The sequence below is a fragment of the Homo sapiens genome, chromosome 2 (genome assembly GCF_000001405.40).
Source record: "Homo sapiens chromosome 2, GRCh38.p14 Primary Assembly".
In the NCBI taxonomy this organism is placed as follows: Eukaryota; Metazoa; Chordata; class Mammalia; order Primates; family Hominidae; genus Homo; species Homo sapiens.
The window spans coordinates 40,130,130-40,144,905 of NC_000002.12; the positions used below are offsets into that span (position 1 = coordinate 40,130,130).

Sequence of the window (14,776 nt, forward strand, 5' to 3'; positions counted from 1 at the left end):
AAACTCTTCCTTTGAGGAGAAAGAATAAAAGATGCAAAGAGCTTTGAAATGGATCTTTCCCAGGTTTTTACAGAATCTTTGGGTCGGCTGCATGCGGCCTATTCCCCACTGTTTCTTAGTATACGATAACAGGCAGTTATGGTGCCATTTATAGAGAAAATCTTGTAAATTCTGGTTGCTAGCCTTCTTTTGTTTCATTCTCTCCTCAAAAATGTTTGCCTTTGCAGGCTTCCTTTAACTCTAATGACATCATCTATTCATGGGAAAGTGTGCTGGAAAGTACAAAGCATTTAAACTCCAGACTGCTGCTTGCTAAAGTGAGGTTAAGATAAGGTCCTGTGGAAAGCCATTTGAGTGATTAGGGCTGTCCCGTGCTGCCCGTCTGGCAGTGTCCCTGGTTAGCTTTGCCTCTTGGCCTGACTGCAGATCTGAGGGTCCATTCAGCAGTACTGAACTTTTTTGGTAGTAAAGAAACGTGTTGCTTATTAGAGTATGTGAAAACAAAATATACTTGCCCTTTAGTAGCCTCTTGGGGAAACTGACACCATAGCCACTGGGAAATACTGGCTTAGGGTAAAGTCACTCTGTTTTCTTTTCCATTTAAGCTGATGTGAAATGTAGCCATCCAATTAAATATGTATGCACACTGTCACAATGGCACCTCTTGACACTGGCTATCTGACTTGAAATGTCAATGTTGAGAGGAGAAAGCTCATGGTCAGTGAAACTGCAGGAAACAGAAGCACATTTGGATATGTCCACCTCACTAGAATTCCTACCATAGGGAAAAATGAAGATAGGCTGAAAATTTACTTAGTTTTTCAGTTTTCAATTGCTGCAATGTAGCTAAGGTAAATAACCCAGGAGGCCTAACTTGTTTATCAGTGCATTGAAATAGAAAGTAAGGGAGATCCAACATTTTTAAGGGTCTACTATATGCGAGGCTCTGTGTTGGGTACTTTATAAATTCTCTCTCATGTAATCCTCACTACAACTCTGTGAGATGGATTTTCATGTTCCTATTATTCTGGCTTAGAGGAGTTAAGCAATTTGCCTCTGGGGATGTCATACATCTAGTAAGTAGCGGAGGGAGGGTTGGGTTTGAACACAGGTCTACCTGCCTCTCTAAAGCTCATGTTCTTTTATAACCCCTCAGCACGTAGTCATTGTGCTAAGACTTTGCATAACTTCTCTGAGACAGAGGCTGTTAACTGTCAATCTATCTGTGAGCTTTGCACTGAGAACAACACATCTATTTGAAGTAGGATGGGATGAGAAGAAATGATGGAATTAATCTGATTCCCTGCTGTCCTTCAAGGGAGCTCAGAATTCAGAATGACTGGGTACAGTTTCCCAAGGGGAACATGTTTGTGATGAGTGGGCATTTTTGTGTTCGCTCCTGACCACCTCTCTGCTGTTAAGAGTAGACTGAGTGTGTTTACTGGTTGGTGAGACCTTGGAATATTAACCTCTATGGTTCCCACTCCTACTTCTGCTCAGAGATCTAGAACACTGGAATGTAATTTCCAAAGCTGCCAGTAAGCCTGGGCAGAACATGACTGCTAGGAGGGTGTCCTCAACATGCCCTTCCTGGGCCCCACTGACCGGCACCTGGGTAGCTGTGTATCACAGCTGTGTTTGGTCTAGCTCGGGAAGACCAAATCTCTCTTTGTGTTCAGATTCATTAGTGGCACATGGCTGTGCTGATGAGGATTATCTTGGTATTCTATTTTTTTTTTTTTTTTTTTTTTTTTTGCCAGCTGGGTCAGAACTGAACATCTTTCAGTTGTCTTAGTGATTAAATTTTTACATACAGGAAATGCTAATAGTTTACAGGTATAGAACTGGATCTTGATTCATTTCTGAATTTTTTTGAAAGCATGGACTCCATTAGGTGTTTTTCATGCCAAACAGAATAATAGTTCCTGACCTTGAAGAGTTTAAATGTAATCTTACTGTTGCATGCCTTAAAAGTAAAAAATAATAAAATTGAGGTAAAGAGAGAAATTTAAAAATTTCTTAAAACGTTTGTGAGGCATATGGAAAAGAGCATATGCAATACTTTAAAAATAAGTCCAAGATGGCACGATAGAGTAGCTAAGTACCAGATTATAAAAACGAGAGATAACATGGATTCCACAGTTTACCATCCCTACAAACTTTGGCTAAATATGGACAAGTCATTTATTCTCTATGAGTTTTAGTTTCTTCATGTAACATGAGGATACTTGTATTCACTCTCCTATAAGCTATTAAGTGATTTTAGACAGGGCCACTGGAGTTACATCCAGGCATATTGTACCCTATACAGCTCCAGGAGGGTCACTCAGATTATGGGGCCTCTTGGAGTATGTAGCATACAACCTGCACAACCATACAAGTTACTTGATGGTCCACCGAGAAGTAAAGCGACAGGACCCAGTAAATTGTAAAGTACTTGCTGTTTAAGTATTCTACAGAATATCTTAGTTTTGAGAGTTATTAGAAGCCAGAAAATTAAAAACTGAAAAACATAAGCTATCAATAGCTAACTGTTTTTCTCAGTTACTAAAAATAATATAATGTTTTGTAGCACAGTGCTGAACAAACAGAAAAAAATATCATTTTCAGGGGAAGGATCTAAGCGTCAAAAAAAATAAAGGTTGAAAGGAGGCAAAATCAGTTCACATCACTTAATGACATAACCTAAGTAAGATAATAGATAAAGTATATACAGTGCTTATGCCTAGATATAGTGGAGCTTTGTGGTAAATTTTAAAAATGTTCCTTCTCTGCTCAAAACTTTTCCCATTTATTCTCATTTTCTGGTGTTTTCTATTCCTTTTGACATTTTTTTAGAGTTGATCTCAGTGTAAATAATGATAATAGTTTCCTGTATTTTATACCAATTTTCAGTTGATACATTCTCTGAGATCCATGCTGTTACTTAATCTTCTTGAAAAGTTTGTTTGAATTGCCATGTATCATTAGGCTGATTTTACAGGCCCAGAGAGTCAAGAAATTGGTTAAAGCCATGCAGTAAGTAAGGGTTAGAAGTCCAGGTTCCTGAATTCAGCTCTAAAGCTCTTGTCCCTCTACCCTCTTGGTGCACAGTCGTTAACACCACGCTAAGAGAACATGGTGAACAACCAGGGTAACCAGTTTTATATATCAAGTTCTTTCTATGGAATTCAGAAGTCGAAAAGTGTTGCAATTTAAAAATGACATAAATTTTCCCCAACATAAGGTTTTATTTTATTAAAAAGGTTCTATATACAAAATTGGGGGGGGGGGGGGTGGAAACCAAAACCATCTATTTCCTTCTCCTTCAGCCTTAAAATCCTTAGAGGGAAATAATTCATGTTTGACAGAATCCAAGGGATAAAAGAATATTCGAAACATAGGAAGGACACAGAAAATCATACAATGCCAGAAACTAAAGGACAGCCTATCATACCCAATTTTTAAGCTTTTCTGGCCCAGTAGCAACCAGCTGGTAGCAGGAACTAGTGGGAGAAGTCAGCAAGCATCAGGCACAACCCCCACCAAGACGCGCAGAGAAAGATGAAGGCAAGACTTAATGGGGCAAAAATCCCCCCCCCCCACCGACTCATCAGTATCTCAGAGTTCTCCCTGCAGTTAAAGGAGGATGCTTACTTCTATTTATTTGAATCCAATAGGAACAAGACATGAAAGGAAAGTCCATATTTTGAATCTGGGATATAAGCTGGAATGTCCTGGCCCAATATACCCAAGGCTTATCCAAGTAAATAACTGTAAGCTAAAAGAATGTCCAATGACTAGGTGGCCCTTAGTCCAAAAAAAGGCTGGGCTCCAAATGCTCCTTCTTAATTTTTTCCCTTTATTTTGAACCTGTTTTTCCATAGAAATAATGTGATACATAACATAGTGATACACTTGTGTTAGGCTACTGCAAAATTCAGCACTCCAGAGTATACCTAAAGTTTTTGTTTGTTTGTTTGTTTGTGTTTTTTTTTTTTGAGATGGAATCTTGCTCTGTTGCCCAGGCTGGAGTGCAGTGGTGCAATCTCGGCTCACTGCAACCTCCGCCTCCCGGGTTCAAGCCATTCTCCTGTCTCAGCCTCCCGAACAGCTGGGATTACAGGTGCCCACCACCACGCCCAGCTAATTTTTGTATTTTTAGTAGAGACAGGGTTTCAGCATGTTGGCCAGGTTGGTCTTGAACTCCTGACCTCAAGTGATCTGCCTGCCTCAGCCTCCCAAAGTGCTGGGATTACAGGTGTGAGCTACCGCACCTGGTCTACCTAAAGTTTTAAAAGTACTGGCCTGAGGTCTGGGTCTTGCGAGAAGGGATCATAGAAGAGAAAAGAATGAAGAAAATACCAAAAAAATACCTTGCTCCTCATCACAGTTCCCACCATAGCCAAAATTATGAAAGAGGAAAAATGTTTGTTCTGAGGTCCTCAGTGCTTTTAACTTTTGTCCCTTCTTACTACAATAACCGTCTCAGATATGTCCTATTCAAGAATAAGCAACACTAAAAATCATCTACTTACCTCCCTCAATAATTTCAATTCTTAACTGTCGCTAGAAGTTATTAGGAAGAAAGCAATCTGATTGAACCAACTTGTACTAATGTGTAAATGACTGATTTGTACATGTATTTACATATACAACCCAAAGACAAACACACAGATACACAATTGCATTACTTCTGTGTTAGCTAGGCACCATTCTAGGCACTAGATTAGTGGACAGAGTTAGAAAATAATAACATTCAAAAATAAGTAAACTAAAAAAATCCAGAATGTAATAAATATAGAAAATAGAGTGAAATAATACATAAGAACTGGTTGACTACTTCACAGTTGGTGATTATGAAAGGACTCTTTAAAGATATCATTTAAGATGAGATGTAATTGAAGACAAACAGCCAGTCTTGTGTAAATGAAGGGGATATGAGACAGCTAGTGCAATCCAAAGAAAGGAATGAGCTTGGTGTGTGGATAGAAAAAAAGGCCCATGGGCCCAAAGAACAGCAGGCAAGGAAGAGAACAGACTGGAAAGATAGGCAGGGGCCAAATCACATTGGTCTTGGTAAGACAGAGTGATGCTTTTCAGAGTTTATCCTAAGTTAAATAAGAAGTTACTGGAAGACTATAAGCTGTAGTCTGGCCTGATTTACCGCTTAAGATGATCTCTAGCAGAAGCAGGGAGACAGATAGGAGGCTACTGCAGAGATATGGGTGAGAGAGGACAGCTGTGTAGACTAGGATGGTGGTGGTGGAGAGATAGCTAGATGGGCTCAAACAAGACACACTTTATAGGAAAGGTCAGCCAGGTGCAGTGGCTCACTCCTATAATTCCAGCACTTTGGGGGCGGCAGGGGAGGGGTGGCAGGGGGATCACCTAAGGTCAAGAGCTTGAGACCAGCCTGACCAATACGGTGAAATCCTCTCTCTACTAAAAATACAAAAATTAGCTAGGCATGGTGGTATGTGCCTGTAGTCCCAGCTACTCGGGAGGCTGAGGCAGGAGACTTGCTTGAACCCGAGAGGCGGAGGTTGCAGTGAGCCAAGATCGTGCCACTGCACTCCAGCCTGGGCGACAGAGCGAGTCTCCATCTTAAAAAAACATAAATACAATTAAAAAATAAAGATCTGTAGGACCTTTGACCATGGGGAGGAGAAAAAGGAATCAAGGATACCTGGACGGAATATGACTTGTTCTCCTGAGAAAGGCAAGATGTGGAAAGAGTAGGTTTGGTTAAAGGATAAGGCCATTGGGCAGTAGAAATCAACAGTTCTGTTTTAGATACAGTAATTCTGAGCTGCAAATTACATGTCTGGCATCAATATAGGGAAGACAGCTAGTACATAAATCTTTCACTTAGAGGAAAATTGAGGCTGGGGATATACATTTAGCAGTCATTGGCATATAGATGTCATTTACACCATGGAGACTGATGTCCAGGAAGTAAGCATGGACCAAGATGAGAAGAAGGATGGAGACCAGTCTTGGGCTTACTCCAACATTTAAAGGTGGGAAGAGGCTACTTGGGAAGCCTCTTTCTCCAGAGAAGTAAGTCTGAAAAATGGTGATTTGGGAAGAGGAGGCCCTTTCTCTATTCACAGGCACGGGTCTTCAAGCTCTTGCCAAAACACCTAACATTGAGGGTAAGTGAAGACCTTTATGAATCCTTCTCTGCCAGTAGAGTATGAGCATTTGCTACCAGCTGGTGCAAGGAAGAAGCTTTGTCTCACTTGAAAATGTATAAGCTTTTCCCCATACATTTTGAATAGTATGGTAAAAACACTTTTGATGAGATATATAGATATTAATTCCTTCCTTGAGGCAGGAGGACTAACGGGAAAGTTTTCAATGTCCGTCTGGCCTTTAGAATCTAAGAATCCCAAAGTCTAACCTAGAAAGAAGCAGCAGAATATCAGACACTAGGAAAGAGCCCTTCTGTTTCAGGAAAAGTGCCAAAACATGGGCCTAGAGAAAACGCTGGGCCCCAGGACTGCTGCTGACTAAATAGTAGGCTATAAATGAAGGGAATTATTTTTCTTTATTCTTCTGCCTGTAGCAACTGGGCTTTGTCACCTAGAAACAATAGCATCATTTTTCTTAGGAGTCAGGATATATAATAAAACATTGCTCTGAATCAGCAGGGTCAAAAAATAAAGTCAGAAATGTGATGTTCATCCAACAGCCTGTTCAATTTTCAGTTTTTGGAAAAAATGTCTTTATATAGATATGATTGTCTGAGATTACCTCTGAATATATTGTTTGGGGAGCTTGCTGCACAGTTAATATTGCAGCAAATTATGGAATTCTCTCAATAACAGCACAAAGAAATCTGCGTCCCGATGGAAAGCATTTATGGCAGTGTAGGGAAACTGTTTCAACAACAAATGATTCTGTTGTATTTTCCCCAAACAGATTTTCTTACCTCTTGATGTCTCCACCTGGCTTCTGAGTTAGTTTTAAGTGGCAGAACAAGTGACTCCTCTAAACATGAAGGTTTGCTGTAATCCATAATTCATATTATAGGGAAAAATTTTAATTATAAGGCTGCCACAATTTTCAAGAGTTTCTTAAAACAAGAGACACACAGAGGCCTTTTGGAAGACTGACATTTAGAAAAAGCCAGCTTGAGGGTATATTGGATAAGAGGTATTGGGGAGTAAAAACACTTTCAGGAACAAGGATTTCAGATAGGAAAAGCATTTTTTAAATCCTTTTGAAAACAAGAGATGTATTTGGTTGGATAAACTGCTGATTTTGGACAATTGTTATAAGAGACCTAATTTTTGCCTTTATGATCATTATTTGCACATATTCTCCTCAGAGACTAAACCCATGACCAACAGCGTGTGCTAACTTGGACACAATGTGATTCAGTGACTTAAACCATAGGAAAAGTGGACTCCAACATATTTTCCTATAATTACCTCAGATAGAAGCAACGGACAACCACAATGTTGATTCCTTTGGTTTTATATATAGTCTCTAATCAAAACACCTTAAGAATATTTTAAGTTTTTCCTTCTGCTTGGTAAATTTCTGGTAACTCTGGAAAAAGATGCAAAGAAAAGGACCAATATGGAACTGCTGGAACGTAGTTGGGATTGAGAGGGAGTCTGCTCTTCTGTAAGGATCGATGGTCAACTGAACGACTTCAAACAGCCCTGCTTGCTAAGGTGAAAGTAAGAGAACCCTCTAGGTCTCCTAGCTCCTCCATTCCCTTAATTGGTTACCAGAAGCATGTGGAGTCTTTAATCAGAACCCCCAGGCAGGCAGTCAGTTGCATAACACCATGCCTTATGGCTGACCAGTATAAATCTGGATACTTCATCCATGGTTAATGAATGAAGTGTCCAGATTTATACTGTTCAGATCATCCTAACTTATTCAATATAAAAATCACCAGAAATACAATTTTATTAAATTTTTTCTATGTCCCAGGTGCTTTACTAGATGCATAATTTGCAGGTATTTTTTTCCAATCTTGACCATAATTCTGCATGTTAAGTATGATTATCCCTATTTTTTAAATGAAGAAACTGAGGCTCAGAGAGGTGAAGTAACTTGGCCACAGTCACTGGACGATAAATAGCTTCCTGAAGAAGAATAACTGGTGAATTTGAGTAGAAAGAAATACATGATTTAAACTGTAGTTGTTTTCAGACTCAAACCAAAAGTCAGGCTTGACAACTATGGCAAACTTTAGTAGAAAACAAAGTGACTATCTCAGGACTGTGGGAAATATGGAAAGTGGACAGTGAATAGCACCATTAGCACAGCTGTATTTGCTTCTAGTCCTGCCTTTTCCCAAGTCTACTGTAATGCTTGTCCTTGGCTTGGTATTTGGTTAAGAACGTGGGTATTGTTGCTCAAAGTAAAGGCTATATATCTGTCAAGATGCTAATTAGTGCTGGAGACTAGATCCAGAGTTTCAGTTACAATAAGCTCTGGTGTGTACCAGAGTCACTTGTGAGCTTTACAACCCACATTCCTGGGCCCTGTCACTCCTAGATCTTCCAGAGGTTGTTGATGGTTCTTAGGGATTTGTATTTCTTAACAAGCTCTCAGGTAATTCTGATCCCCACCAAAGTTTGAAAATTATTGCTATCAATGTTGTTTGGGAAGATGATGTCTTACTCAGAAATATGAGTAAACATAATAAAGTATAGTTGCAGGTCAGACAAAAAATTCAGCTTGTAAGGAATGCATGAAGGGATGTTCATGAAATATACATTTGGCCTGTCCACTTTTGTCAGGATTACTTTTTTCCTGTCTTGATCAATGCCTACTTTCTCTTTTGTCTCATTAATATTTGGGTCAAGAGAATATTTTATCAGGTCTCCAGTAAGTACGTTTTCCTAGTTACCTAAATGAATACAGTTTCATAGAGATCATTAAAATGTACCAAGTATATAAAAGACAGAAATTTGGTTCTTAAAGCTGACTCTATATTTTTGTTTTGTCTTTTCAAAAGTGCTCATTGCAATGGGAAGCTGATCTGAAAATCTATCCATCAAACCAATCTGGTCTCTTACAGGCCGTGGAGACCCTCTGGGGATCTGGGATGCTTTCCTGTCATTGCAATGACACTGACCGGCTTTTGAACCTTGAGAAGGGCCATGACAATGTTCCGGCAGTAACATTTATTTATACCTCAGGGCTCTCGTCTTTCATAGGTCTTGGTTTGTTATCACAGCCCTTGAAATTGTAGGAAAGAAAGTGTCAAGAAGGCAAATGAACTTCTGCTACTGGGGGAATTATACATGAATGTAATTTGTACCTGGCACTGATGTTCCAAGTGCGACGAACACGACTGCAGTCACAGAATCTTTCAGGCCAATGGTGCAGCCAAAGTGGGAAGCCAGGTCTCCAATGAAAGCTGTCAGTAGGCCAATCATGAGGATGGAGACAATGAAACACGCCCAGCCATTCCAGTATTCAGTAGGGGGGACGAAGGCAAACAGGACCTTCCAGAACACAGTCAGAAAGTGCATCACGTAATCGAAACAGGAGGGCAGCTTCTCTTCCCCACATTCATCGTCGTCATCATCTTCCCCTAGAGAGAATGGAAGGAAGCACATTTCATCACAACCTGTGTTGCCGGGTCTTCCTCTCTCTCAATCTCTCCTATCTAGGTCGGTCATCCCTCCACTCTGTGACAGGAGGCCATGAGAGGTGGGTGAAGTTTAGGGTTTTCCAAGAGTTAATCATAACTAATGAATTAGTTATCAAGACACTGAAATGCCTCTTACCTGTGGCTCATTGGTCAATGGCAAAAACTTAACCCCTACCCAGTTCTGCATCCATGCAATCAACACACCCTTTCTACTTTCACATCTGGTAAGACTTGTCACTTCAGAGAAATGAAAATGATTTATTCCAAAAGGCTGGCAAGCCCTGTGTCAGCCTGAGAAATAACCCTCTTTTGAAGAAAGAAAACTATAGATGGAGTTCTACTAGGGTTCTTTTCTTGCAACTTGAAGTCCAACTCTGGGTTATATAATCACCTACAGGATAATGTTCACACAGGGCCGTTAATCATGGCTCTGAGCCTTGCATATTTCTCCAGCGTCATCTCCTGCAACTATTTCAAACTCAAGCCTTGGAATTACTTGCCAAATAATTATATGCCAAAAAATGAAATTTATTTGCATTTTTCCAAACCAGATACACTTTCTCCTACTTTTGTTCTTTAGAACTAAATGTGCTTGGCATATCCTAATCGCTCCACCCTTATCCTTCCTCACCCATCCTTTAAGACTCGCTTCCTCTGTGATGCACTCTCTGACCTCCCCCCAAACCCATGCTGGGAACTCCTTCTCAGAGGAGCTTCCCAACACTTGTAACTCTGGATCAGTGGTTCTCACAATGTGCTTCCTGAGCAGGTGGCACAGAGAACTTATTAGAAATTCAAATGATCAGTCCCACTGAATCAGAAATTGGGGAGGGGGTGGACAGCAAGCTGGGCTTGAACAAGCCCTCCATGTAATACTGATGCATGGTCAAGTTTGAGAACCGCTTTTCTAAATTGTACATGTTCATGTTCTCTTCTCCAGTTGACTGAGAACCCTTCCAGGGCAGGAATTCATGCATCTTTGTGTCCCTGCTGTTTGATACCATCTCCAGCATGTGAACAAAGGTGGTTAAGTATGTATTAAATGAAGGAGTGCATGCAGAAATTTCTATTGACTTTATATAACTATGCAATTACCTGATATATATATATCACAATTTTGCCAATTAAGTCATATTATCAGTGTACAAAGAAATGCACAAAGCATGCTATTTAAAGGAACCAGGAAATCAATAATAGTAATCTAAAATGGAGATTTCACTTATGTGAAAATAATGCCCATTGACATGTTTTAAAATGAGGATATTGAATGTCAACTTTTCTTGAAGTGGTGGCAAATACATGTGTTATGTGGCCATTTTGGAAAGAAGAACATCTCCTTGAAGTCTTTGTTGACCCATTCCAACCTTGTCATCAGGGTGCTACTTTACTTGGTCCCACTAGTGCAGCCGGCAGTAGGTGGGGCTGCAATTTTCCACCTGAACCACGTGACCTGAGATGGCCAGCATGGAGCACACATGTATGGTCTTCGTGAGACACTCTGTGGTAGGCAAGCCATTGGGTGCAGATGATGATTGAGAAGACCCTCTGAAAGCACAAGAGATTTGAGGGAAAAACCCCTCTCAGAAAACATCTAAAGAGGAATGTCTGGATTTGTCCTCTGTCATTTTACAGGAAAAGAGAAGAGGCAATGGCCTGCTCTTTCATGAGCACATGGTTGGAATTATATGAATACACTTTGGGCGTCTGTGAAGAAAGCAGCCTCATCTTTGAGGCTTTGGATAAACTGCTGGGAGAAGCCATTGCAGATGAGTGGAATAGCCTTTGGAGAACTCCCCAGTGAGGAGCTTGAGTCAGGTCAGCTCATCAGAATGTTTGTGAGTGAAAAAGCATTGCTGACCGTTTGCTCTGCTGTTCATGCAGTATTTATTATATCAACTTTACCTGGAAGCAGAAGATACTTTTTAATAAAAACACCTGGTATGGGCTGCACTGTGTCTCCCCAAAATTCATATGATAAAGCTCTGTCATCACCTCAGAGTGTGACCTTATTTGGAAATAGGGCCTTTAAAAATGTAATTAAGTGAAAACAGAGCCATTAGGGTGAGTTCTAACCCAATATGACTGGTGTCCTTATAATAGGAAATTGGGATGCACAGGGAGATACCAGGGATGTGCGTGCACAGAGGAAAGACCATGTGAGTGTCCAGTGAGAAGACAGACATTTACAAGCCAAGGAGATTGGCCTCAGGAGAAATCGAACCTGCCAACACCTTGATCTCAGATTTTCAGTTCCCAGAACTGCCAGAAAAGAAATTTCTGTTATTCAAACCACCCAGTCTGTGGTATTTATTACAGCAGCCCTAGCAAACTACAGCAGCCCTTCAGAAGCCTCTCTATATCATGACGTGGAAATGTAGGAACAATTACTCAGTGTTTCTATTACCTACTCTTTTTTGTTTGTTTCCTTATACATTTCTTCTTTTTTCTTTCTTTTACTTTCCTTACCACTTCTCTTTTACCCTACACTTTAGCTCCAGGTAGAACTCCATGTTAGAGATGCAATTCTCAGGGTTTATTTGAAGGAGGAAGGAAGAAGAAAGTCACATTAATACATTCCCATTCCCAGGCTCTCCTCTTACCCACTCCCCATTCCAGCCGGGGCTGAGAAGGGTGCATATACTCAGAAAAGTTGAGAAAAAGCACTAGGTTTTCTAGTTATATTTATTTTGGATCCTATCCTTTTTAATTTCTATATTTGTGAACATTTTATAATTTCACAGGGCATATGAATAAAATGCTTTGGAAAGCATTTTAATCAATCATTCACAGAAACATGAACTATGCTGCCTTTTCTCTACAAAATTACTTAATTTGGGGCATCTAAATCTCTTATTTTGAAGACGAACAAGAGAACAAATAATGAAGCTTCTCAGAAGAAATGCCATTTATAAATTGAGAGTAGACATTATATTTGTCTTCAAGATGGAAATAACACCTTTCCCGTGAGAGATGTACACAGGAATAATTAGATCATGTTTGTAAAGTGTCTGAGAATATTTCAAGGTAATGATTATCATGGTAGTTATCATTATTTCCCTCCATTTAAGATTGTTACTGTGTTTCTCCATCATTATTTGTTTAGTCAACATGCTAGGTCCTAAGGTTACATTATAGGTTTTTAAAAACAAAAATTAATTTTGCCCTCTGAAATTACCTTCATGATCAATTAATGCAAAATGTGTGTGTGAGTGTGTGTGTGTGTGTGTGTGAGAGCGAGAGAGAGAGAGAGAACGTGTGTTCTTTCTGTAGGCTTCCAATATCACAAAGAATCTTAAATGTTTTAATGCATAAGTCTGGAATGGGAGGCCCATCTGCTTTTATAACATTTGAAAGGAAAGTGGCCTCCCATCCTTTTCTCTGGGATCTCACTGCTCTTTATAAATTTTAATCTCCAACTCAGACATCACTTAAATATTAAAAATGACCACGGACTGCCATGCATGATGCACAATTACCCTGTCTTGGGAAAGGACAAAGAAATATCATGTTCATCCATCACCATCTGGACTACACTTAAAAGTCTGTTCTTTCTTTGTGAAGAGTAGTGAAACATTAAAAAATCCTAGGAGCATCTTTTATGTGACAGCAAAAATGATGGTAGGATGCCTGTTCTGTGGTTCTGTATGTTCACCAGCCTAGGGTTCCTGGAGGCTACATAATTCTTTCAAGTCCCTTCTCTGTGTTAGAAAAGAAAGACAGGTTGGTGGGTTTGCTTTTATAGAATCCCAAGTAAATTCCTCTTATCTCAGAATCATTCTTTTCAGCTAATGGAAAATAACCTGTATTTGATTAACCCTTCCTATTGCCTTTTAAATGGCTTCCCTGATACACACTGGACTTCTTAAATATAACTACAAAAGTAACCAAATCATTAAAAATGCAGATAGTGCACAGGGTGTCAGTTCAGCTATTGATGTAACAGTACTTGGACCGTTCCTGCTCGGAAACATGAGAGCAAGAGCATCATCAGCATGACTGACGGTGAAAGACAACCCCCTGGGCTTTGCATATATCTTTCTTTTAAAGTAAACAGGTGTTTCTTTACGTGTCTCTCTACCTGCTCAGGGCTTGAATTCAGGGAGAGCTCTGATAACCAGAAAAAGAGACTGCTGGAAGGTAATGGACACGTGGGTCAGAAGACTTAAGCCACTTTATAGTTCTGACAGCTTGTTTTGGGGCAAGACACTTAAATTTCCCAAGCCTCAGTTGCTCACCTGTCAAATGAGTTTCCTAACTCCCATCTCTCAGAGCTGTTGTGGGGATTGGAAGAAGAAATGCTCAAGTCCTTTATAAAACTATATGCATCTTTATAGACAAATGTGCCATATTCCATTATTGTTACTTGTCTGAAGGAAGGCAGTATATCAATACAATGTGAGTATCCTGATTTCACTGAGTATATATTCTGTTTGAATGAGCCATTATCATTCATTTCCCCAAGCTGCTTGCTTTTAAGAAAAGAAAGAAACAGGAAGGGAACCTGGTGGGGTGTCTCTTAAATGACAGGCACTAAGCTAAATTCTTTCACATACCTGATCTTATTTCATCCTTAAAATAACACTGCAAAGTGGGCATTATTAATCCCATTATACATATGAAGATCCTGAAGTTCAGAGAATTTAAGTGACTTGCTAAAATAATCTCACACAGAATTTAAGTGACTGAGTTGGGATTTGATCTAACAGTCCAGGGAACATTTTACTATAGAAAATGCCTTATGGAAGAAAGTAGAGGAGTTCAGTATCACATATTGATTCGAAGTTTGAGTCGGAATTTTTTTAATGCCTAGTGTTATATAGATACAGTGGTACCTTTTTTTTTTTAGGAATGTGAAAATATTGAGGTGCCATAATTAATATTTGTATTCTAATACTTTCTAGATACGATTTTTGGGTTGTTTATTTCTTTGGCAGAGCCAGCCATAAGCTCTTTCTCAGACCCGTGGGGACCAAGAAAACATGGGAAATAAAACAATCAGGTAAAAGCAGGGGATCATGGTGTGACTGTTTTGGAACCTCTATTTTTTTCTATTTAAACATTTGTTTAAAATTTTATCATATGCATTTGAGATTAGCAATGTCATGTTATAAGATATATTTAGATAGTAAAATTATTATAGGGAGGCAAATTAACATCTATCATCTCATC

The 14,776-nt window shown here is 39.6% G+C and overlaps 1 protein-coding gene and 1 long non-coding RNA gene across 24 annotated transcripts in view, besides 1 other annotated feature; one reads left to right on the plus strand and one right to left on the minus strand.

Moving 5' to 3' along the window:
• The window catches only part of SLC8A1-AS1 (SLC8A1 antisense RNA 1), a 337,576-nt gene that overhangs the window by 212,496 nt on the left and 110,304 nt on the right, over positions 1-14,776 (plus strand). The window lies entirely within an intron of this gene.
• The window catches only part of SLC8A1 (solute carrier family 8 member A1), a 415,166-nt gene that overhangs the window by 32,860 nt on the left and 367,530 nt on the right, over positions 1-14,776 (minus strand). For all 23 annotated transcript variants that reach the window (NM_001112802.2, NM_001372263.2, NM_001394106.1 and 20 more), the window contains one exon: positions 9,272-9,547. In NM_001112802.2, the coding sequence (NP_001106273.1) occupies positions 9,272-9,547 (276 nt within the window). The remainder of the gene's footprint in view (positions 1-9,271; positions 9,548-14,776) is intronic.
• Positions 13,922-14,492: an enhancer, noted in NCBI's record as "OCT4-NANOG hESC enhancer chr2:40371191-40371761 (GRCh37/hg19 assembly coordinates)". NCBI's record gives its function as "activates a minimal SCP1, AML or CMV promoter by ChIP-STARR-seq in primed H9 embryonic stem cells {active_cell/tissue: H9 hESC(primed)}" and the evidence as "EXISTENCE:reporter gene assay evidence [ECO:0000049][PMID:30033119]".